Source organism: Homo sapiens, chromosome 2 (genome assembly GCF_000001405.40).
Source record: "Homo sapiens chromosome 2, GRCh38.p14 Primary Assembly".
In the NCBI taxonomy this organism is placed as follows: Eukaryota; Metazoa; Chordata; class Mammalia; order Primates; family Hominidae; genus Homo; species Homo sapiens.
Window position 1 is genome coordinate 227,801,894 of NC_000002.12, and position 25,866 is coordinate 227,827,759.

The window sequence follows — 25,866 nt, forward strand, 5'->3', positions numbered from 1 at the left end:
TGGTCTACCTGCTGGGCCCTCCAAAAACTTAGGGACATTATCTGATGTACCTGTGTTTTCACAGTATTTACTATTAAATGAAGGTAAAGAGTGGCTTCTGGTTGGTTAAAAAACAGTTGAGAAGGAGATATTGAAGGTTGTCAATGGGTAATAAAACCTGGTTTTAATACTATCCTGGGACCCTCTGGTGGAGGCAAGGAAGGATTCCTGTGGTCTCTCTGCAGATGTTTTGCTAAATGAAACCCTGCAACCTGGAACTTCAAAAGTATCTCAAGACTGGGCGCAATGGCTTATGCCTGTAATCCTAACACTTTGAGAGGCTGAGGCCAGGGGATTGCTTGAGGCTGGGAGTTCGAAACCAGCGTGGGCAATACAGTGAAACCCCGTCTCTACTAAAAATGCAAAAATTAGCCAGGGGTGGTGGTGTGTGCTTGTAGTCCCAGCTACTGGGGAGGCTGACAAGATCACTTGCACCCAAGAGGTGGAAGTTGCAGTGAGCCAAGATCACACCACTGCACTCCAGCCTGGGCGACAGATTGAGACGCTATCTCAACAACAACAACAACAAAAAAGGTATCTCAGATTATGTAGTCTCAGATGGTATAGCGATGGGAGCGATGGTTAAGGAAAAAATTTTCAGCAGCCCTTCGGCTGTCAACAAGTATAAACAGTCAGGCAAGAAACAAACAAAAAAACAAAAACAAAAAAACAAACACACATTAACAAAACCATTCAAGAGGTGGCCTTCAGCAAAATTAGCAGACTCCAATGTAGAAAACCAGGTCATTTGGGGTGTGTCTGGAGGACAGAGAAAGAAGCCCAGCATTGCAATGGAGGTGATGAGAGCTATAACTGTTCTGTTTCTGGATAAGCCCACCACTGGCTTAGATGTTAGCACATCAAATGCACTTCTTCTCCTGAAGATGACAAGGCAGAGAAGGCCCATCCTCTTCTCCATTCCTTAGCCCTGTTAGGCCATCTTCAAACCTTTTGATAGCCTTACCTTGCTGGCTTCTGGAAGGGTGATGTTCCATGGGTCCTGTATAAAAAACTTTGAAATATTTTGCTCTGCGAGTTACCAGTGTAAATCCTATAAAAACTCTGCTGATTTCTTCACACATGTTAATAGAGGCTCCTCTGCTGTGACCTTAAATAGGAAGCAAGGAGGTGAGAAACCTGGGGAACTTGAAAAGCCTCCCAAACAGGATAAACAATGAATAGAGGAATTAGCTGAATTTTATGTCAATTGTTCTTTCTACAGGGAAACGAAATATGAATGTAATGAACTCTCAGTAGGTGAAAAAAGGAGTGAACTTTCTTTGATCATCAACTCAGGTGGGTGTCCAAATGTTTATTCAAAAATTGGTTTGGTGAGCATCAAGACTCCATTCCTGAAATAAGAGCCCCAGTTATCAGACTGGGGCATCCAGGTTCTTTACTGTGGTTTAAACAATAGCCCTGCAGGAATTTATAATAGAGGTGGCTTCCTGTTCTATTTGTCCTGCAACCAATGCCTGAACAATGTCTCAGTGGTATTTCTTCTGGTTCTTGAAAAAAAGCAGTCTGTGCATGAGTCTACCAGTGGCTATTTTAGAGTATCATCGTATTTCTTTGGAAAGCTGATATCTGACCTACTCCCTGTGAGAATTTTATAAAGTGTGATATAATGAGTGCATTGCATCTTATGTTAAGACCGAAGCTGAAGGTGGAATCTTTCTTTCTTTCTTTCTTTCTTTCTTTCTTTCTTTTTTTTTTTTTTTTGAGATGGAGTCTCTCCGTGTCTCCCAGGCTGGAGTGCAGTGGCGCGATCTTGGCTCACTGCAAGCTCCCTCTCCCGGGTTCACGCCATTTGCCTGCCTCAGCCTCCCGAGTAGCTGGGACTACAGGCGCCCTCCACCACGCCCGGCTAATTTTTTGTATTTTTAGTAGAAATGGGGTTTCACCATGTTAGCCAGGATGGTCTCGATCTCCTGACCTCGTGATCCACCTGCCTTGCCTCCCAAAGTATTGGGATTACAGGCGTGAGCCACTGCGTCCGGCGGCATCTTTCTTTTTTAAGATGCCTCCCGGCCGGGCGAGATGGCTCACGCCTATAACCCCAGCACTTTGGGAGGCAAGGCAGGCGGATCACGAGGTCAGGAGATCGAGACCATCCTGGCTAACATGGTGAAACCCCGTCTCTACTAAAAATACAAAAAATTAGCCAGGCATGGTGGCGGGCGCCTGCAGTCCCAGCTACCTGGAAGACTGAGGCAGGAGAATGGCGTGAACCTGGGAGACGGAGCTTGCAGTGAGCCAAGATTGCGCCACTGCTCTCCAGCCTGGGCGACAGAGCAAGACTCTATCTCAAAAAAAAAAAAAAAAAAAAAAGATGTCTCACTCGTAAGGCTTGCACTGACCTCCAGTGCCTTGGCTCTGGCTCTCGCTGCAGGTCAGAGTGACCCCCTTGGGCTACCCTTCTCTTGACTTTCCCTTTAGCTGATGAAAATTATTTCAGCCCTCTGCGTGAATCTCAGAACCAGTAGGCCTTGGTTTTCCTGGATCCAGTATATAAGCATTCCTCAATACAACCATAGAGGCTTGCAACATAATGACTTTATGGACCAAAGCTTTAGACTCGGAATACATGGGCTACACACACACAAAACCAAGGCCTGTGGATATGCCATGTGTTCTGGGGAAGACTTTTTACAAAACCAAAGAATTGAGTTGTCCTCTTGGGGTCTATGAAGGAGTCATCTGGCCTTGGCATGTGTGATGGTGATTTTCTTAATTGCCTACTAATATGGTTTGGCTGTTCCCCCACCCAAATCTCATCTTGAATTGTAGCTCCCATAATTCCCACGTGTTGTGGGAGGGAACTGCTTGGAGGTAATTGAATCATGGGGGTCGGTCTCTCTCATGATAGTGAATAAGTCTCATGAAATCTAGTGGTTTTATAAAGGGGAGTTCTCCTGCACACGCTCTCTTGCCTGCCTCCACGTAAGACGTGCCTTTGCTTTTCCTTTGCCTTCTGCCATGATTGTGAGGCCTCCCTAGCTACGTGGAACTGTCAGTCCACTAAACCACTTTCCTTTATACATTACCCAGTCTCGGGTATGTCTTTATTAGCAGTATGAGAGCAGACAAATACACCTACCTAAAATTAAGCATTCATACGCTGTGTGTAGCAGATATCTCTGGAACCCCATATACCATGCTTTCAATCCCCTCTTCAATTTCAGCCCCAGCTGTAGTGTACAGTTTCCAGTGAGCTCAGACCACCTGGCACTGACGATGACTCACTGAAGCCTGCTCTGCCTGCTTTCTGCTCTGGGGCATTCTCTGAACTGAGGGGATGTTGGGCCTCTCCCCTCCTCTAAGCACAGCTTAAAAATAGAGAAGGATCAGTGTCCTGGGGACCATCTTCAACGAATGAGAAATGTGAGCCAGCTGATGAATAATCTCTCTTCTCCTTCAAGTGGAGAATTCTGGAAGACATTTGCTTCTTTCTCAGGAGGTTCTAGTGGAATCAATTTCCCATTGCCCACGAATGACCTTCCAAACCTTTCCTCCCTCCATTTGCCCGCCTGTTCCTGGCTTCTGAGAGTAACTCACAAATAAATTATCTGCATCTGAGGCTCTACTTTCAAGGGAACCCAAGCTAAGATGCTGAGAAACAAGATGCTTGATTTGTTTTAAGGAGTCACTGTGGAATTTGTAGTGGTGCTAGCCTCCATTAAAGTTGTGGTTTATTCTTTTTTTTTAGTGAAGCTCTGTAATACCTCAGTATATGATGAAGCCTGTATGGAAACTATTGTAGCAGGATGAGCCACAGACGAAACTCCTCAGACACCGGATTAAAGAAGGAAGTGGTTTATTCGGCCCGGAGCGTCAGCAGACTCGCGTCTTTAAGAGCCGAGCTCCCCGAAAAAGAAATTCTTGGCCTTTTTAAAGGCTTACAACTTTAAGGGGACCACGTGAAAGGGTCGTGATAAATCGAGCAAGCGCGGGGAACGTGACTGGGGGCTACATTCATCAGCTAACTGAACAGGAAGTTTTGCAATGCTTTTTCATACAGTGCCTGGAATTTACAGGTAACACAAGTAGTTTAGGTCAGGAGTTGATGTCATTATTATTACTTTTTTTTTTAACTCCTAGGGCCGGGTGGTGGTGCCAAGGTTGTCTGGCTATTTATCTTACTTCTGTTTCTTTCCCACTTTTTGCTTTCTCACTTTCCTCCTGTCTTGTGAACTAGGCAAGGTGAGGAAAAGAGGGCAGCAGGAGTAATAGTGGTCTCCTTCCTTACTATGGCTTCTATTACTGTCTGAAAGAAACTAAAGTGTGGGCTAATGGTATGTACTATGATCCATTTGATAATTGATATCAACTTTGAGGAGGAAATGAGGAAGATTATATTGACCTAGGGAAGGGGGGTCTGATTTCTATTTCCAGCTTCAGTCTTTATAGTTTGACACTGGCAAAGTCCAATGTCTCTCTGGCTTCAGTGTCTTCATCTTTCTTTCTTTTCCTCTTTTTTTTTTTTTTTTTTTCAAGACAGATTCGCTCTTGTTGCCCAGGCTGGAGTGCAATGGCATGATCTCGGCTCACCGCAACCTCTGCCTCCCAGGTTCAAGTGATTCTCCTGCCTCAGCCTCCCTAGTAGCTGGGATTATAGGCATGCGCCACCACACCCGGTAAATGTTGTATTTTTAGTGGAGAAACATGAGCTTTACCATTAATTATAAAAAACAGTTTTCATGCTTCCACAATAAGACTGTGTTTACATATAATTGTAATTATTTCTATGATAATGATTTATGTAAAATGAATACGGCCTGTACCCCGTACTGCTTTGTTTTACAGATATTTGTGTGTGTTTTAACTATAATTTCACTTGAATTAAGATATCATGTTCTCGGCCAGGTGTGGTGGCTCATGCCTGTAATCCCAGCACTTTGGGAGGCCAAGACGGGTGGATAGCTTGAGTTTAGGAGTTCAAGACCAGCCTGGCCAACATGGTGAAACCTCGTCTCTACTAAAAATACAAAAATTAGCCAGGCATGGTGGCAGGCGCCTGTAATCCCAGCTACTCAGGAGGCTGAGACAGGAGAATCGCTTGAACCTGGGAGGAAGTTGCAATAAGCTGAGATCGCACCACTGCATTCCAGCCTAGGCGACAGAGCAAGACTCCGTCTCAAAAAAAAAAAAAAAAAAAAGATACTATGTTCTAGTATTAAGTAGCTTCCACATAAGACCCTTGTCATATCTTTTCTGAAAAAAAAAAAAGTCTAAGACACTGTGACTCTGCTACACGCAGGAATTAGTACTCATTAGGATGTATCTGAGATATTTCAAAAGAATCGCTGAATAATAAATTCCAGTGCAATAAATAGCATTCTAATAAATTAGGTTTGAAATAATTTTGTAATGTTAATCTCATTTAACACATTTATTGACTGACCAAAAAACCTCCCAAACAATTTAAGTCACATTTTAGAAAGTTTTTTAAAAAATTATTATTATTATTTTTTGAGATGGGGTTTCACTCTGCCACCCAGACTAGAGTTCAGTGGTGTTATCATGGCTCACTGCAACCTCTATCTCCCAAGCTAGAGCAGTCCTCCCACTTCAGCCTCCCAAGTAGCCAGAAACAAAAGGCGTGTGCCACCAGGCCTGGCTAATTTTTGTAGAGAAAGGGTTTTGCCATGTTGCCCAGGCTGGTCTCAAACTCTTGAGCTCTAGGGATCCGCCTGCCTCGACCTGCCAAAGTGCTGGGATTAGAGGCATGAGCCACCGCACCCACCCACATTTTAGAAAGTTTTAAAGGGACAAATATGAAATGGTACATCGATCAAAATAAGCACAAGGAAATGCAATTCTAGTCAATATAAAGATACTAAAAATAGTTTATTTATGGCTATTAAATGGAGAAGAAAAGAGATCTGTGATTAAGACATGAGAGAGAGGGAGGAGAAGAGACAACAGGAATGGAGGAAGGAGAAATGAACACAGACTATAGGGAACCAAGAGTAGTCGTAAAGAAAGAAAAAGCATCCATGGGCTGGGGTGCGTGTTAAGATGTAGGTACATGGAGAGTTCCTTTTTTGTTTTGTTTTGTTATCAGCTTTATTGAGATATAATTGACCTACCATAAAATGACCCTTTTTATGTAAACAATTCAGTGTGTTTTTAGTATATTTATAGGGTTGTGCAACCATCAACCATATGTATTTATAAATAAAAAATAAAAAACAAACCACATACCCCTTAGCAGTCACTCCCCAATCCCCTTCCCTTCCCTGGACACCACAACCCAGCCCTAGGCAGTCACTATTCTACTTCTCCTCTCCATAGATTCACCATTTCTGAACATTTTATGTAAATGGAATCAGACAATATGTGGTCTTTTGTGCTTGGCTTTTCCACTTAGCATAGTGTTTTCAAGGTTCATCCGTTTTGTAGTTTCTTTTTTCTTTTGGAGAAAGAGTCCCACTCTGTCACCCAGGCTGGAGTACAGTGGCACGATCTTGGCTCACTGCAACCTTCACCTCCCAGGTTCAAGCAATTCTCCTGCCTCAGCTTCCCAAGTAGCTGAGATTACAGGTGCAAGCCACCACTCCTGGCTAATTTTTGTATTTTTAGTAGAGATGGGGTTCTGTCATGTTGGCCAGGCTGGTCTCAAACTCCTGACCTCAAGTGATCCGTCTTCCTTGGCCTCCCAAAGTGCTGGGATTACAGGTGTGAGCCACCATGCCCAGCTTCATTTTGTAGTTTCTATCAGTATCTTATTGCTGAATAATATTTCGTTGTATTGATTTGCCAGGTTTAATTTATTTATATATCAGTTTATAACTTTTGGGCTGCTTCTACTTTTTTGGCTATTATGAATAATGCTGCTACAAACATTCACGTACACATTTTTGTGTGGACATATATTTTCATTTCTGTTGGGTGTAAACCTGGGAGTAGAATTGCTGGGTCACATGGTAACTCTCTAATTAACTATTTGAGGAATTGTCAAAGTGTCTTCCAAAATGACTGCACCATTTTTTTATTTCCATCAACAACATATAAGGATTCCAATTTCTCTACATCATTGCCAACACTTATTATTTGTCTTTTTGGTTATAGCTATCCTAGTGGATGTGAAGTGGTATGTCATGGTGGTTTTGATTTGCATTTTCCTACTTACTAAAAATTTTGAGCATCTTTTTATGTGCTTGTTGGACATTTATTTATCTTCTTAGGAGAAATGTCTATTCAGCTGTTTTCCTCATTTTTTAATTGGGTCACTCATCTTCTTCTTATTGAGTTGTAAGAGTTCTTTATATATTCTCTATACAAGTAAATGTCCCTTATCATATATATGACTTGCAAATTTTTCCTTTCCTTTCTATGCGTTTTCTTTTCACATTCTTTATAGTGTCCTTTGAAGCATAAAAATGTTTAGTTTTGATTTGGTCCAGTTCGTTAATTTTTAATTTTATTGTTTGAGCTTTTGGTGTTGTATCTAACAAGTCATTGCCCAACCCAAGGTCATGAAGATTTTCTCCTATGTTTTCTTCTAAGAATTTCATGTTTTTAACTCTTACATTGAGATCTATGATCCATTTTGAATTAATTTTTATATATAGTGTGAAGTAATGGTCTAACTTTATTCTTTTGCTGTGAATATCCAGTAGTTCCAGCACTATTTGTTGAAAAGACTGTTCTTCCCCCATTGAATGGTCTTGCCACCCTAACACAAAATCAGTTGACCATAGACATGGGGGCTTATTTCTCAATTGTATGCCATTGATGTGAACACTCATGCAATTTTCACATGTCTTGATTTAGTGTGATTTTTTAGTAAATTTTGAAATCAGAAAGTGTGAGTCTTCCAACTTTATTCTTCCTTTTTGGGATTGTTTTATCAATTCAAGGTCCCTTGCAATTTCACATGAATTTGAGTATTGGCTTTTCCATTTCTACAAAGAAGCCAGCCAGGATTTTAATAGAAATTGTGTTAAATAGGCCGGGCATGGTGGCTCACACCTGTAATCTCAACACTTTAGGAGTCTGAGGTGGGCGGAGCACCTGAGGTCAGGAGTTCAAGACCAGACTGGCCAACATGGCGACACCCTGTCTCTACTAAAAATACAAAATTAGCAAGGTGTGATGGTGCATGATTGTAGTTCCAACTACTTGGGAGGCTGAGGCAGGAGAATTGGCTGAACCTGGGAGGCAGAGGTTGCAGTGAGCCGAGATTGCGCCATTGCACTCCAGCCCGGGCAACAAGAGTGAAACTCCATCTCAAAAAAGAGAGAGAGAGAGAGGAAAAGAAAAGAAATTGTGTTGAATAGAAGCGGTGAGACTGAACATCCTTGTCTTGTCCTTGATCTCAGGGAAAAGGCAGTAAGTCTTTCAACATTGAGTGTGCTATCAGCTATGAGGCAGTCATAGATGACCTTTATCAGGTTGAGATGTTCTCTGCTATTCCTAGTTTGTTGAGTGTTTTGTCATGAGAAGGTGCTGGATTTTGTTAGTTACTTTTCATATAGTTTTTATTTTTATTCAATTAATTTGTAGTATTACATTTCCTGGAATAAATCCCACTTGTTATGGTGTATGGTCCTTTTACTATGTTGTTTTGTTTTTGTGTTTGTATTCGGAAAGGACATTGGTCTGTTGTTTTCTTTTCTTGTGATGTGTTTATCTTATTTTGGTGTCAGGATAATACTGTCCTCATAGAAGAAGTTGAAGAGGGTTCCCTTCTCTTCTATACTTTGAAAAAGTTTGTGAAGAACTGGTATTAATTCTTATTTGAATGTTTTGTAGAATTAACCAGTGAATTAATCTGGTCCTGAGGTTTTATTTGTGAAAAATATTTGGTTATCAATTTGATATCTTTACTTGTTATAGCTCTATTCAAATTTTCTATTTTTTTTTTGAGATGGAGTCTTGCTGTGTCGCCCAGGCTGGAGTACAATGACACGATCTTGGTTCACTGCAACCTCTACCTCCCGGGTTCACGCCATTCTCCTGCCTCAGCCTCCCTAGTAGCTGGGATCACAGGTGCCCGCTACCACACCAGGCTAATTTTTTGCATTTTTAGTAGAGACAGGGTTTCACCATGTTAGCCAGGATGGTCTCGATCTCCTGACCTTGTGCTCCTTCCGCCTTGGCCTCCCAAAGTGCTGGGATTACAGGCATGAGCCACCACGCCCATCCCAAATTTTCTATTTTCTTCTTGAATCAGGGTCAATAATTTGTGTCTTTCATCTCTATTCGTATCAGCTGTGAGGTGGTCATAGATGACTTTTATCAGGTTGAGAAAGTTCTCAACTATTCCTAGTTAGTTGAGTGTTTTTGTCATGACAACGTGTTGGATTTTGTCAGTTGCTTTTCAAATCATTTTTATTTTTTATTTGATTGATTTGTTGTATTACATTTCCTGGAATAAATCCCACTTGGTTATGGTGTATGATCTTTTTACTGTGCTGTCGGCATAGTAATTTTATTTGCATACAGTTTTTTTTTTTTTTTTTTTTTTTTTACCTCCCTTTCCTTTGTTTGGTTTGGTCTAGTCAAGGCTTGTTAGTTTTGTTGATCTTCTCAAAGAACTAACTTTCGCATTCGTTGATTTCCTCTATTGTTTTGCATTCTCTGTTTTATTTATTCCTGCTCTAATCTTCATTTCCCTCCTTCTGCATGCTTTGGGTTTAGCTTGCTCTGCTTTTCTCTAGTTTCTTAAGGTAGAAGTTTGGGTTATTGTTTTGAGATGTTTCTTTTTTTTTTTTTTTAATGTGAGTGTTTACAGCTATAAGTTTCCTTCTGAGGACTGCTTTTGCTACATCCTATAAGTTTTGATATGTTGTGGACTTTTTTTTACATTTCAAAGTTGTTTTCTACTTTCTCTAGTGACTTTTCTTTTGACACATTGTTGTTGTTGTTGTTGTTTTTTCCTTTGAGATGGAGTCTCTGTTGGCCAGGTTAGAGGGCAGTAGCGTGATCTCGGCTCGCCGTAACTTCTGCTTCCTGGGCTCATGCGATTCTCCTGCCTCAGCCTCCCAAGTAGCTGGGATTACAGGCATGGACTACCACACCCGGCTAATATTTGTATTTTTAGTAGAGACAGGGTTTCACTATGTTGGCCAGTCTGGTCTCGAACTCCTGACCTCAGGCAGTCCACCCACCTCGGCCTCCCAAAATGCTAGGATTACAGGCATGAGCCACCACTCCTGGCCAGACACATTGGTTATTTAGGAATATGTGGTTTCCTTTCTGTCTGTTACTGATTTCTGATTTAATTCCATTGTGGTTTGAATGTATACTTTATGTGATTTCAGTCGGTTTACATTTACTGAGACTTGTTCCATAACCTACCATATGCTTTATCCTAGAGAACATTCCATGTGCAACTATTCTGTTGATGTTGGATAGAGTAGTCCTTCGATGCCTGCTAAGTCTATTTGGCTTATAGTGTTGTTCAAGTCTTCTATTTTCTTGTGGATCTTCTGCCTAAATTTTATTAATTAGTGAAAATGTGGTACCAAAGCTGTCAACTTTTATTGTTAAATTTCCTATTCTGCTGGGCACGGTGGCTCATGCCTGTAATGAGGTCAGGAGTTCAGCCTGGGCAACATGGTGAAACCACGTCTCTACTAAAAATACAAAAATTCGCTGGGCGTGGTGGCACGTGCCTGTAGTCCCAGCTACTCAGGAGGCTGAGGCAGGCGAATCGCTTGAACCCAGGAGGCGGAGGTTGTAGTGAGCCGAGATGGTGCCACTGCACTCCAGCCTGGGCAACAAGAGCAAAATTCTGTCTCAAAAGAAATTATAATAATAAAATAAAATAAAATTTCCTATTCTTCCCTTCAATTCTGTCAGTTTTTGCTTTCTGTAGTTTGGGGTGCTACTGTTAGGTATATATATGGTTATAGGTTTTACATCTTCCCAATGGGTTAATTTTGTGTTACCATGAAAGTCCCTTTTTATTTCCGGTAACATTAAAAAAAAATCTATTTTGTCTGATATAGGCATCACCAACTCCAGTTCTCTTTTGTTTACTGTTTGGTATACCTTTCTTTTGATCCTTTTACTTTCAACCTATTTGGGTCTAGTGGAGAGTTCTTATACTGCCTTAGGTTAGGGATTCATATTACATTATCATCATTAGTACTGTTATTTGACATTTGCTGTGCTGACTAGCTACTGCTGATAGGTTTTCTTTCCTCAACAATTCTGAGGCTCTATATTGAGTTATATTAGTACATCATCATGGAGAGTTAAAGGTAGGTAAGGATTATTTTCTGAACTGCAATATTGATTAAAGCCATGTGAATGTATAAGATTCTTAGAAGAGTTGACATTAAATCAAGGTGAAGCTGAGGTTTGAGCCTTACTTAAAGGCTGATATTTTCCACTCTAACTGCGGACAGTACTGTAGCACTGTTATAGTACCTGCTCTGAATGTTAGTCTAGCAACTCAGGGTCTTCTTCATGACAGCTGAACCTCAACCATGTGATGGTAAATGTGTAGCAGAGTATGCCTGGCATCCCACCTGCTCCTCCTCCCCCTCCTCCTTGACTGGTTCTGGAAAGCAAATAGGGTGTAACAATAGGAGTTCTGGAATGTTCCTGTGTGGGGCTGACCTTTGTATCGCTGTTAATCCTCTATTTTCAGACACAAAAATGATTAAGTTAAAACTGGATGAAAGTCTTTTCTGGGTCACAGGGCTGAGCTGCTTTTGCTCTTTGCAAATACAAAGAATTTAACAGGATTCTCCCCTTCTCAACTTCCTGTCCCCCACCCTGACCTTCGCACCTTCCCAATATGAGGAAAAAGCAGGAAGTTTTCCTTGCGGGTTTTTTTTATGATGACATGATGGGGCCAGTTGATCAATGGGGAAAACCCCATGTGGCAACACGCCTTCTGTGTACATTCCCAATATTTGCTATAAATAGGGCCATCCCAGGCTGCTGTCAGAATATAACAGCACTCCCAAAGAACTGGGTACTCAACACTGAGCAGATCTGTTCTTTGAGCTAAAAACCATGTGCTGTACCAAGAGTTTGCTCCTGGCTGCTTTGATGTCAGTGCTGCTACTCCACCTCTGCGGCGAATCAGAAGGTAAGTGTCGCTCTTTCCGCTAGCACAGAAGAAAGACTATTTTCATTTTCCTTTTAGCCTTGAGCTCAACTGGGGGTCCCTAAGGGATGGAAAACTGTTAGGAAGTATACAAGAGGTAGTGATGGAAGTTGTCTGCCCATGGTGGAGTGGAGGAGAGAAGAGTTACTGCTGCGGATCAGGCTTTCCTCTCTGCTGTCAATCTCAGCAGATTTGGGGAGTGGTGGGCTCTTAGAGATCCCTAAACTTCAGGATAAAGCCAAAGTGATGTTTCTGGGAGTGATATAAAGTGTGTAATGTTACCAGTAGATGGGGCCATTTTGAAATGTAGAGAATCCTCCTGTGTCCCCAACTTTCGTACCTCCCAACTTAATAGTTTTGGTAAAGTTCAAAACTCATCCTTTAGAAGTAGATTATAATACCTGACATCAACATCCCCACAAGGCATGGGGGACATTGCTTGCCAACTTTAAAATAACATTAATCCCTTACCTTACAGCATGTTGTAATCTGACTCGGGAATGTCCAAGTATTGCTTTATTGCTCAATAGTCACACAACACTTTTAGCAACAGGTGCATTCCTAAAAATGCACATTGAATTTTTTTTTTTTTCTGAGGCAGGGTCTAACTTCATCACCCAGGCCAGAGTGCAGTGGCATGATTACAGCTCACTACAGCCTCAACCTCCTGGAGTCAAGTGAACCTCCAGTCTCAGCCTCTTGAATAACAGGGACCACGGCCGTGTGCCACTCACCTGGCTAATTTTTTTACATTTTTTTTTTTTTTGTAGAGACAGGGTTTCACTGTGTTGCCCAGGCTGGTCTCGAACTCCTGGAGGCAAGCAATCCTTCCTCCTTGGCCTCCCAAAGTGCTGGGATTACAGGCATGAGCCACCATGCCCAACCACATGTTGAACTTTTATGAACAAAATTAAACATTCCTATTAATTAATAGGACAATTTCAAAGTGTTTTCACTCCTATAAATCATATTTCCCTTTGTAGCTCTATTTCTCAATACTTAGTAGCCAGATAATAGATTAAAATCTGCCAATTTATTCATTTTCTGCTTTTGGAAGTTTATCTACATAAGGGTTCCTTCAAGCAGTAGGGAAGGGGCTGCTCATATTCTTGAATGATTATAGTGAACTGAAATGAAATATTGTCAATTTGTATTTCTTACTGAAGATATCCCACTTATGAGAAGTCCTGTGTTTCTCAATTCTATTATTGAACCAAAACTTCTCGGCACACAAACTGTTTTTTCAAAGAACTGTAAACTATGTTAGATTGGTTCTCAACGACCTTACAAAGGTTTCCAAGACATTGAAACTCCTCCTCTAAGTGGTTTATTCGTCATATACATGAGATTCACTAGATTTTTCACAACTTAAGGTAGTTTTATAATACCAATCACAGGATAAGTTTATTCATGTGGATCCAATACCTTTCACTTTTTTTTTTTTTTAGCAGCAAGCAACTTTGACTGCTGTCTTGGATACACAGACCGTATTCTTCATCCTAAATTTATTGTGGGCTTCACACGGCAGCTGGCCAATGAAGGCTGTGACATCAATGCTATCATGTAAGTTATTAATTGATTTTAATTCAGTTGTATCAGGAATACCTAGAAACTTCAGTTTTAAAAATGTTTGCCTTTTTAGAGTTTCATTCAGAAATTACTGATGTTTTGAACATAAGATCTTATTTTAAAGAGAAAGAAATGATGTGGCAAAGATAGCTTTGTCTTAGTACATATCTACTTTAAAGTTCACTTTAAACAGGACTGGAATAAGGCAAAACCTTTTTTAAAAATTTTTTTTGGTCAAACGGAACTAGTATAGGGCAAAAATCACTTTCTAAGGCTATTAAAGTGATATATTAGGAAAATAGGGAAGATACACATTTCGAAATGAGCATCTTCTACCAGAAAGTGTTTGAGACCAAAAGTAAAATCTCAGACTAATTATACTATCACATATAATTTTCTTGATTTATATAGGATATTATATTTTGGAATTATACAAGTTATTGATCAGATACATACATATTCTATGTAACCACCAATAGCAAAATTATATGACAATTCTGGGACTTTATCTTCCTGCCATTGTACTATTATTTGTTACATTGCAGAGAAAGAGAGAATCACTTTGATTTTGCATTAATCTTCATCAGAAGCATTTTTTGTGCATTTTATTTTACCTCATCAACTGAAATGTTTAGTGTGTAATCAACTGGAATATAAAATTTCCATTGTATGTTCTATGAAAAACCCATTGAAAAGCTCATTAAACACAAATCAAATTTTCTGATTTTTCAGCTTTCACACAAAGAAAAAGTTGTCTGTGTGCGCAAATCCAAAACAGACTTGGGTGAAATATATTGTGCGTCTCCTCAGGTATGTTACACTGACATTTAGCCTTTGCAAATGTTTGAGGAAAGAGGAGTGTGCAAAGGGGTGGGCCGTAGGTTTTCTGGGATTCTTTAGTTTAACTATTGTGGAATTTTTAAAGGGAAAATTTGAGTTGGACCACAAAAACAAAGAATGCATTTTTCCACTTACAGATCATCATCGTTATTATTATTTTAATTTAGTGATTTCTTACATGATGTATTAGATTTCTCTATGCATTTGATAGTTACTAGCTGCCTGATTCTTGTTGCAAAGATGCCTACTATTTATATAATTTAAAGGCAATCTGGCATTTGGTTGTTTGTTAAAAACTGAAAAATGAACATTAGTTAAACAGAGATCAATGGTTCTGATTTACGTTGACAATAATAGACAGTAACACTTTATCAATGGACAGAAGGCACCTAACACCAGCATGCCATAGATACTGAACTTGGAGACACAAGATAAGTGTCCATAGCCTGTTTCTGTCATTAATGAGCTGAGTTAGGTTGGGCAAGGGCCATCCTCTCTAAACCTCAATTTCCTCATCTGAACTCTGAGCTGCTTGACATACTGAGTTGAGATTAAGGGCAGGTGAAGCAACCTTTAGGTACCAAAGTCATTCCCACCATGCAGTCACCTTGTCATTACTTACACTTTTCTTCTTTTTCATTTTACAGTAAAAAAGTCAAGAACATGTAAAAACTGTGGCTTTTCTGGAATGGAATTGGACATAGCCCAAGAACAGAAAGAACCTTGCTGGGGTTGGAGGTTTCACTTGCACATCATGGAGGGTTTAGTGCTTATCTAATTTGTGCCTCACTGGACTTGTCCAATTAATGAAGTTGATTCATATTGCATCATAGTTTGCTTTGTTTAAGCATCACATTAAAGTTAAACTGTATTTTATGTTATTTATAGCTGTAGGTTTTCTGTGTTTAGCTATTTAATACTAATTTTCCATAAGCTATTTTGGTTTAGTGCAAAGTATAAAATTATATTTGGGGGGGAATAAGATTATATGGACTTTCTTGCAAGCAACAAGCTATTTTTTAAAAAAAACTATTTAACATTCTTTTGTTTATATTGTTTTGTCTCCTAAATTGTTGTAATTGCATTATAAAATAAGAAAAATATTAATAAGACAAATATTGAAAATAAAGAAACAAAAAGTTCTTCTGTTGATTGAGTTTTATATCATTTTTATGATGTGTATTGAAACCATTTCCAGGCACAGAAAATATAAGAATTTTCTGAGAAATTATATCCTCCACTTACTTCTAGTTGTTCCCTTTATCTCGGCCCCTCATGGCCCTGGACTTGATTTTACATGAATTATAATGGAACAGTTGTTCTTTTTTTTCTTTAATTCAAAGTCGTCCAGATTAAAAGTTGAAAAAGATCCTATATCTGAGATTCATAACCCAATGTTTATTGATTTAAGAAAACTGTTTAAAATAAGAAACCATGCCCACACACCTTTTGACTACAGGGACACAACAACCATTTAGAATATACCTTCAGGCATCACTTCTTCCATCCTTCTGTCACCAGCCAGGATCTCAGCATACGAACATTTCTCCATTTAAAAGTCCTCCCGAGTCATCTTTAAGCAGTTTCCGAAAGGAAAATGACTATTCAGAGAGTTCTTAGTGGCTGCCTTGCTAACCAGCGGGGAGCCCCCAGACGTGTGAAACCTGGTAAGAGCCCAGCAATCAGGATGAAAAGACTCTGAACCAGTAGTTACTATCACTACATTCATGCATCAAGGTTCACAGAGTGCCTCGGATTCCAAAGGACACACAGGATCACTGGAGGCAGGCATGCTGATGATATGATGCAAAATCAAGACACATAAACCCATAAAGTAGGGCAGTGGTGGGTCACTTGATGTGGAGCCAAAAAAGAGTAAGTGGCTCAATAGTCCCCAAGGGCGTCTGCATCCTCAGGAACAGCAACATTGAATCATCAGGGAAAGTATGCTCAACATCCTGTGTGTTGATTCATCATCACACATAGGTTCAGTATGTGCTGGGCACCGTGCCAAGTGCTAGAGAGAAGAAGTGACTTAAAACTTAATAACTTGCTGCTAGATATTTAAGGCTGAGCAATGTGGCGAGAGGCAGGAATGAGTAAAGCAGCTCTTACAACACTTGGTGGTAAGCACTTTAATAATGAAATCATTGGGCATCATTCGTGAGGGCTTCCAGAAGAAGTACTATGCAGTTGAATCACATTAAGTAGCCAATATTTGATGTCATTGACCTGAGAAGATGACAATTTCACAAGATTCAGCCCAATACTTGTGGTATGAAGAATCAGTAGGAAGTAGCTAGTTGGAAAAGGGACAGCAGGAAGTGTTTGGAAATATCTGCGGGCATGTGTAGTTGTCACAATGTCTGAGGGTGAGTACAACAAGCATTCAGAGGGTAGGAGCCAGGGTTGCTAAACTCACTAGAATGCAACGGATGGTTCTGCACAATGAAGAATTGTCCCACCCCAAACGCCAATCGCGCCACCCTTGAGCAATACCGGATGAAGAGGAGTATATGCAAGTGGGGCAGGGGTGGAGTAGCTGCAGATTAAGTTAAACTGTTATCTCAACTACGTGTGGTGGTTTGGGCTTGACCATGGAGCCCTTGGGAAACCACTGTAAAGGTCAAAATACATGTTGTCTCTGCACGGCAGAGGAAAGGGAGGTGGGGTGGATGGAAAGCAGAGGTACCAGAGACAGCTGCAATGAGGAGGCTGAGAAATGGTGAACTTCAGTCACAGCCACGGCAAAAAAAAAAAAAAAAAAAAAAAGGCAGAAGAGGTGGGATTGTGAAGCCTGGGACTTATCCCAGACACCCCTTCTCTCCTCCCCATCAGTCACTGTTGGAACAGCACAGTCAAAGCAAGGCATTTTCAGGGGGCAGCAGATTTGTCTCATTGCTGGAAGGCCTCAGCAGGTAAGGCTTGTAGAGTCAGGAAAGGAGAAAATTTTGTTAGCACTCTGAAGCTGTCTGAATCTTTTGAGGCCAGGACTACTAATAAGTATTAAGTGAGTTTCTGAAGACTGAAATCTCCAGGCTGGAATGCCAATTTATTAATCAACAACGAAAGCATCCAAGCGTCAAGTATGCGGACACAAGCACATGGCTAGATTAGGGAAGCAAGCTACCTGAGCAGTCAAATTGGAATCACAAAGCTGGTTTGTTAAGGCTGGGATCAGAGAGCAGGGCCTCAGCTATGTAATTTGAATATTTAATGCTCTAGTTTTCACTGGATTAAATATGATCTTAGATTAGGGATGCCACTCCCAATTCACAGCTCTCTCTCTCTCTCTTTTTTTTTTTTCATTTTGGAAAAAAAGCCTATTTACTTTTTAATTGAAGTATAATTTATATGCAGTAAGATACACAAATCTTTTTTTTTTTTTTTTTTTTTTTTTTTGAGATGGAGTCTTGCTCTGTCACCCCGGCTGAAGTGCAGTGGCATGATCTCGGCTCACTGCACTGCACCTTCTGCCTCCTGGGTTTAAGCAATTCTCCTGCCTCAGCTTCCTGAGTAGCTGGGATTACAGGCGTCCACCACCACACCTGGCTAACTTTTGTATTTTTAGTAGAGACAGGGTTTCTCCATGTTGGTCAGGCCGGTCTCGAACTCCTGACCTCATGATCTGCCCAACTCGGCCTCCCAAAGTGTTGGCACTACAGGTGTGAGCCCCCTCACCTGGCCCAGATACACAAATCCTAATTGTGCAGCTTAATAAATTTTTGCATATGCACCTACCTGTGAAACAACCCTGCCTCCTTCAAGACAGTAAATGTTTTCAACACAGCAGGGGAAGGAGCTCTCATGTTCCCCTCCATTTGTAGAACCCAGGGGTAGCAGCTGTTCTGATCTGTTTCACAATAGATTAATTTGCCTTTTCTTGATTTCATATATATGGAACTATCCAGCATTTACTTTTTGGTTTTTGACTTCTTTTACTAGAATCTTCTGTCTCTGAACTTATTTTTAATGGCATGTATAGTACATGAATTCACTCTCATTCTTAGGTTCAAGCAATAGTGATACGGTGAAGGTCTCCTTTAAACTTTCATCAAGCCCCTTGACTCTCTGAGGTGACCCCACAGGATGCCTTTGCTCTCCCCTGGGCTAAGTAGCCCTTTCTGTTTGTACAGTCTTCTTGAGAACCACTGCTAGTTTATGTAAGAGTCTAGTCCTGTCTCCTAAATACACTCTAACCATCTGAATGATTCTGAGGCTTTTGGTCATATATTTTCCAAAAGTCTCTTGTGTAAGACTGCTGATGTCTGGCCATAGCCATAGGCCCTATGTGTGGATTTGACTTGCTGTATTCTCAGAGTTGTCTCCAAGTTCTTCGGTGCCTCCCTGGTGCTTTCCATTAGTGTCATCTTAAGAGGTAAGTAAGATAAGGATGGAATAATGTCTTGCCCCTGGCAATCTGTAGGTCATTGGTAACTGTAAGAGTATTCAGTGAGGTAGTGTAGGAGAGAGAATCCCAATGACAGTGGGTTGAAGAATGAATGGTGACAAGTAGTTTGGCAATGAAGGTAAGAGGAAATAAAAGCTAGAAGGGGAGCCTTTTATCTTTAGATGGAAAAGTATTGAAAGAGTCAGGGAGAAGAGAGAGAGAGAGAGAGAATGAGAGAGAGATTGAAGATATTATAAAGAGTTGAAGATTCTGGAAGAGTAACAAATGGTACCTCAACTTCTCTCAAAAGGCGGGTTTCCAGAACACAGTTCAGCTGAGTCATCTCTTCCTTCGGAACAAAATTCACTCAAGAAAGAGCAGGAGTAGGTGGGGAGAATTTTGCAATTTGGGATGGAGGAAGTTGACAGACTTTGAATATGGTGGTCTTGCTTTTCTTGGTGAAAGACTAGTCACCTTTTGAGAGTGATGAGTGAGCTTTGACATGAATGGAGAAGCTTTGAGATAGTCAGTAGAGGACACAGGGGTACACTCAAGGTTGTTCCACAGTGTTGGGGTTCACTGAAGTCGGAGATAACTAAGCTGCTGTGATTTCCATTGGCACACACCAGGTGGCCTGCTGCAGTTTGGGTGTAAGAATAGACAGTGGTGACTAGTTGGACTAGTTTAGGGTCAGGCTTTGCATCTAGGCACAGTGCAAGGACAAGAGGGCAAGAGTCAATGACAGAGGTTCAGAGAGGGGTTAAAGTGCTGAACCATGCAGTCTAGACCAGAGACAGGAGATGAGGTCCAAAGGTATCTGAGACACTGAGAGAGTATGGGGAGGCCCTCAGATAAAAGGCCTCAATGTGGTCAAAGAGCAGGAGAATGGGAGGGCTGGAGGGGCTGGAGCAGCTCCAGGGGCCAAAGTCCAAGTGTGTGACTGTGGGTGTGCAACTCAAGTGGTGGGGTAGCAGGGCGATGACTGGAAGGCTACCAGGATGGATGAGTCATTCCCATTGATTTTCCCTCTACTTTTTCCCTCTTTTTTAAAAAAATATAGAGTTGGGGTCTCACTATGTTGCCCAGGCTGGTCTTGAACTCCTGGGCTCAAGCATCCTCCTGCCTCAGCCTCCCAAAGAGCTGGGATTACAGGCATAAGCCACCATGCCCTGCTTCCCTCCACTTTTTATTATGGAAAGTACAAAAGTGGAGAGAATCATATAAAAATCCCCCTTGTATCCACCATCTGGATTCAACTGACTAATGGCCAATCTTGTTACATCTACACCACCCAACTCACTTCTTCCCATCTATCCCCCTGGATTACTTTGAAGCAATTTCTAGACATTAAATTATTTTGTTTATAAGTACTTCTCCCTCTCTCTATATATGTACATATATATATATATATATATATATATATATATATATATATATGAACTTTTAAAAACATACAATTTCCCTCACATGGATTTAAAAATCAACACTAATTCTCTAATATCACCCAATGTCCAGTGTTCAAATTTTCTTGCTTGCTTTAAAAAAAATTGTTTTAAAAAACATTATTTGCATCCATCTTTTCTTTAAATGAAGATATAAAGATGTAGATGAAGGTGTAAATGAAGATCCGAAAGAGGTCCACACACTTCATTTGTTTGGCTTGTTTTTTTTTTTTTTGCTTTTAATCTGAGAGCTCCTCACCACCAGCCCCCATCTCCTTTCCTTTTCCTTTGAAATTTATGCTTTGGAGAAACCAAGACATTTGTTCTGTGGTTTCCCACCTTGTGGGTTTTGTTAATTGCATTCCTGTGGTGTTATTTAGCATGTTCTTTGACCCTACTTAGAAATAGAGGCTGGGTTGGATTGGAATTTACTATGCAAGGGGACAAGGCTACTGAATAAGTGGCATTATGCCACATGGGTACAAAGTGGTCCACACTGATGTCAACAGGAATGAAAGGGAACACTGAGCTGAAGAACTGATCAAGGCCATTAACTGACAGCCAGCGGGAGGGGAAGTGGATGGTCTAATGACATCCATATGCTTCAAAGAAGATGATGGGAAAGGTGTGTAGGAATGAGAAAGTGCCATCATGGAAGCACAAGAATACTGGTCTCTACCCACTCCTGGCCCTGTGGTGGGAGAGGAGTGAGAGAGGAGCCCCTTCATGTTGAGAAGACCCCAGGGAGAAGTAGTGTTCTTGCCATAAAATCTGATTTCAGATGAAGCCAGGAGATGGAGAAGTGGAAGATGGAAGGACAGAGAAGTTGCTTTACAACAGAAAAAAGTTTCCACTGAAGGTCATGGGGGGCATTGTGGAGTTCAGCTGGAGGCACAAAGGAGAATTGGGACGGAAGCACTAGCAGTATGAGAAAGAAAAGATGAATACAAAGATTTGGGTAGTAATCATGTCATTAATAATATTTAGATTATTTAAGCATTTGTATGTTAATATCATCTGCTAAGATTGCCAATGTACCTCATTGGAATATGAGCTCTGAACTCTATTTTTATGCCTGTTCTTGGGTAAAGAAACTGAGGCTCAGGAGAGTTAAGAAACTTACTCAAGGTCACACAGTCTTTAGAAATACAATGGAGTCTAGAGTTGGTCTCAGGGCTCCCTCCTGGCCTCTGGCATAAGATATTTTTGTGTCAAGGAGACGGCAGATGCTCAGTCTTGGGGCTGTTTATTTGCAATCTTCTTGTACATCTGTTTGCTCTGCTGTTCTAGAAGTTACCATCAAAGTATTAGAGCATTTTAGACTTTTTTTTTGGATTAAAAAGGCTTCCAAATAAAAAGTTTGTTTCTCCAAGGAGTAAGCTTCAATTGTGATGTGGACACCTTCTTCCCTAGCAGTGCCAGACATATATCACACTGTTGTACTTTTCTTTCTTGCTACATCTCTTCACAGTTTATTGGATAAAAATAATGTTTTCCACTCACTCACTCATTTATTCATTCAACCAAGAGATGTTTATTGAACACTTACTCTGTGCCAGGTCCTGAGGCGGTCATTGGGGATAAACAAGACAACCTTGCGGCTTTCATGTGCCTCATGGTTTAGAAGTGGGGACACACAACACATAGCACCAAATAAATGTATGAAATGTGAGGACAATAAAGTTGGGAAAAGGGACAGAGGATGGGGATGGAGAACTTCATATCTGTGTAGAGCCTGACACAGTTTCCTGCCTTTCTCTCAGAAACAAAGCCTCCGTCTTCCCCTTGGCTTAGAAAGGACCCTGGATAGGGCAAGGAAGACAGGTCTGATTAAACCTGTCCAAGAGTGTAGTCTTTATTTATTTATTTATTTATTTATTTATTTATTTATTTACTGAGATAGAGTCTCGGTCCATCAGCCAGGCTGGAGTGCAGTTTCCAATCACTTTGTTATTTTTTTTATTCTCCTTTACTGGTTTGACCTCTTTTGCCTGATCTTTAAACACCAAGCATCTTTACACTTCAAATCTAAAGATTCTTCTCCTCTCACCTTACATTCTTTCCCTATATAAATCATCAGTGCCATGGCTTTTGTGGTGTTGTTGTTGTTGTTGTTGAGACAGAGGCTCCCTCTGTCACCCAGGCTGGAGCACAGTGGTGTGATCTTGACTCACTGCAACCTCCACCTCCCAGGTTCAAACGATTCTGCTGCCTCAGCCTCCCCAGGAGCTGGGATTACAGGTACGCACCACCACGTCTGGGTAATTTTTGTATTTTTAGTAGAAATGGGGTTTCACCATGTTGGCCAGACTGGTCTCGAACTCCTGATCTCAAGTGATCCGTCCACCTTGGCTTCCCAAAGTGCTGGAATTATAGGCGTGAGCCACCGTGCCTGGCCCAAGAGTGTAGTCTTAGTTTTTGGAGATAACATAGGTCTGTGGAAGACTGTTGCACTGGGCCTTGCTTTACTCTGACTGAAAGGGTAGCTCATAAGTTAGAACCCCTAAGATTATAAAATTTTCTTCACTGAGCTTACCAAGTGTCAAGACTCCAGCTGGGGCCAACTCAAGTTCGCAAAACTTGAATATGCATTCGAACTGTGATTTGGGGATTGCATTAGCACACAGCATCATTGACATTCCTCGAGTCTGGTGATTCTTCGAATTTGTGTTCTTTCTGTGGCTCTGACTCAATTAAAACAAATAAACTATGTCTAGCAATAAATACGATACAATGATGTAGTTACAGAAAATCCTGCCCGTTCTCCAAAATGGTACAACACAATTTGTATTCCTTTCGTTGTTGACATCAAGGCACTTCTGGCAGGAAATGCTCACAAGTTTGAAAAGCTGGTGTACATTTTTTTTTTTCATTTTTCTTGTTTCTGGCCCCCCTCCCTTCACCTGAAAAAACAATAATTTTAAGAGATTGTTAAAATTCAATAATCTAAAATCTTCAATTTAGGTGAATTAAAGTTGAAGTTCTTAATTTGAAGAAATTCACCTAAGTTCCAGGTGATGAGGAAAGTATTGAATGTAGATTCATTCATACTCAGGCCATAATGGGCTTAGTGCTTCATAGGCTTAAATCCAGCGAAGAAAGAGCCTGCTTAGTACTGAGAGTTGAAATTTACAAGCAGATCCATGTACGTAAAGGACCTAAAGACTAAGGAGCCAAGAAGAGCAAATGGGGGCTCATGCTGGGTCCTTTGGGATTTATTGCATGTATTCATATCCTTTTTTTTTTTTTTTGGAGATGGAGTCTCCCTCTGCTGCCCAGGCTAGAGTACAGTGGCATGATCTCAGCTCACCGCAACCTCTGCCTCCCAGGTTCAAGCGATTCTCTTGCCTCAGCCTCCCGAGTAGCTGGGATTACAGGCATGTGCCACCCTGCCTGGCTAATTTTTGTATTTTTAGTAGAGATGGGGTTTTGTCATGTTGGCCAGGCTGGTCTTGAACTCCTGACCTCAAGTGATCCACCTGCCTCGGCCTCCCCAAAGTGGTGGGATTACGGCCATGGCCACCTCGCCCGGCCAATTTATTTCTAACGTTGTTCACCAAAACCATGTTTTTACACATTCCTCTCTTTTCTTATGTGAATTACTCCAGAAATTTTCCCACATCAATCTTAGCCCCATTTTGGGGGTAAAACTGTTTATCAAGTGGCGTAGTCCTGGAAAAACTTCTGAATTAATGAACATCCCATCTCACCTGAATTATTTGGCAGCAATTGCTTCACATCTCAAGCCAAAGGGTGACGCACGTCTTTCTCCCTGAAAAACACACAGGGCATCCATGTGTCCCCCTGCACCACCCTCTGTAACAGCAGAGGCTCTTTGTCCTGTTTTGCGGCAGTTCCGTGGCATTCCCTGGGCATGTTGTCAAACGCAATTAGAAAGGGCACGTGGTGTCTGTCTCCTTCAAGGCAGCCAAGTCTGAGGAGGTCGCAGTGCTTGCCTCCACCCTCTTTTGCCACCTCGTTTCTTGGCTCCCTGGGTTTGGCATGTTGGGTGCAGTTCCATTTGGCCCAGATGCTGTTTCACTTGTTGAAATGATTCCATTTCCTCGGTTTCCACCCTCAGGGCTCCCAGGGCAGGGCTTGCCCTTGCCACTTGCCTCTTCCTGCCACCACCATTCTGCTCAGCTTGGCAGAGCTGATTTGTCTAGGCCTGACTTGACTCGCCCCTCCTCCCTGCCCTACCATAAAAATCAGCCGCACTTTCTGTTTGGTGAAATCTGCTTGCCAGTGAACGAGTGTGGGTGAAAGCATCAGCTTGAAAAAAGGGGTGTTTTCCGTTTTGTCTCCCTCCCTCCCTCCCTCCCTTCCTTCCATCTTCCTTTCCTTTTTCTTTTCTTTTCTCCTTCTTCTCACCCTCCCTCCCTTTCTTCTCTCTCTCTAGACAAACTATGAGTATTTCCTCCCCAAACATCTCCCTGAGGTTGAGACTTCCCTCTGTCTGTCTCTCTCTCTGTCTGTTGTCTGCCAGTCCATCTGTCTCTCTCCACTTACCAATCATTCAGGTTCAAAACCACAAAGTCGTCTGGCTCCTTCCTCACCCTTAGTCTTCCACCCTTACCACTAGTCAGGCACTCACCTGGCTGGCTATGGTTGGCAATAGTTTTCCTCCCTACTCTTTGTTTCCGTTCTCACTGCCCTCATCTTTCTGTGGCTTTCACCTCTGAAGAGGTTTTCTAGCCTTTTCTCTCTCCTTATTTGAACATGTCTTGCCAAATTTATGCCACAATATTGATTTTATCATTCTCAGGATTCTAAATCGCTTCTGGGTACCCATTACCTATCAAGTCCTCAGCTTGGGGTGCAGGGCCTTCCATGATCCAGTTCTCATCCTGCCTCTTAGAGTGATTTATGTGTTTCACATACTCCAGGCACACTGGCTTCTTTACCATGGCATGGGCATACTTTGCCATTTTCTGTCCACACATCTTCGTACATAACTTCACCAAGAATGCTGCTCAATCTCCATCTAGATTAAGCACATCCAGCTTGAGTGATTGTGCTCCTACGTGGACCACTCCCAGATCAGCCAAAGCTCCTCCCTCATCCCTCTGCGTGTCTGTAGCATGTCTCATTTCTCCCACTGATGGAGCGTGTGCCTTGTTCTCCCATGCACTGTACTTCCTCCATGAGCTTTCTCTCCGCAATGCTGTGGTTTTCTTCGGATGAAGAACATTGCATAGCTTCTACCTCTTCGCATTTCTTGCAGTGCCTAACATGAAGCCTTGCAGCTAGAAGGTGCTTTTGGGATGATTTGGAATGGCTAGAAAAACTACTTGATAATTCCTGGGGGAAACCAGCATTCTTGTATACAATTGGTAGAAGTATAAGTCAGTAGGAATTTTCTAAATACATGTTTTCAGGATGCATCGAAAGCCTTAAAAATATGTATCTATTTCACAGTACAGTATTTCCATTTCCTGTGAATTCATTCTAAGGAAATAATTGCATAAGAGCATAAATATGTGTGGATAAAGATGCTCATAACAGGGCCAGGC

The 25,866-nt window shown here is 41.4% G+C and overlaps 1 protein-coding gene and 1 pseudogene across 2 annotated transcripts, besides 1 other annotated feature; both read left to right on the forward strand.

Annotated features, from left to right (window-relative positions):
* Positions 561-2,781, forward strand: LOC100533842 (ATP binding cassette subfamily G member 2 (JR blood group) pseudogene; annotated as a pseudogene).
* CCL20 (C-C motif chemokine ligand 20) lies at positions 11,949-15,663 on the forward strand. Of its 2 annotated transcripts, none has more exons than NM_004591.3 (4): positions 11,949-12,094; positions 13,561-13,675; positions 14,414-14,491; positions 15,169-15,663. In NM_004591.3, exons 1-4 carry the CDS (start codon positions 12,019-12,021, stop codon positions 15,188-15,190), a joined length of 291 nt encoding a protein of 96 aa, NP_004582.1. In that variant the 5' UTR covers positions 11,949-12,018; the 3' UTR covers positions 15,191-15,663. The 2 variants fall into 2 exon arrangements, with proteins under 2 accessions (NP_004582.1, NP_001123518.1); NM_001130046.2 differs by having other exon boundaries at positions 13,564-13,675.
* Positions 15,886-17,085: an enhancer, noted in NCBI's record as "BRD4-independent group 4 enhancer chr2:228682495-228683694 (GRCh37/hg19 assembly coordinates)". NCBI's record gives its function as "activates an origin of replication core promoter dependent on BRD2, P300/CBP, MED14 and CDK7 cofactors, and independent of BRD4, by STARR-seq in HCT116 cells {active_cell/tissue: HCT116}" and the evidence as "EXISTENCE:reporter gene assay evidence [ECO:0000049][PMID:35650434]".

Excerpts from the sequence above, each read along its gene's own strand:
- CCL20 (NM_004591.3), top strand. The coding sequence starts at position 12,019 with ATGTGCTGTACCAAGAGTTTGCTCCTGGCTGCTTTGATGTCAGTGCTG. Across the intron at positions 12,095-13,560 it reads CCTCTGCGGCGAATCAGAAG|CAGCAAGCAACTTTGACTGC; the intron begins GTAAGTGTCGCT and ends TTTTTTTTTTAG. Across the intron at positions 14,492-15,168 it reads TATATTGTGCGTCTCCTCAG|TAAAAAAGTCAAGAACATGT; the intron begins GTATGTTACACT and ends TTCATTTTACAG.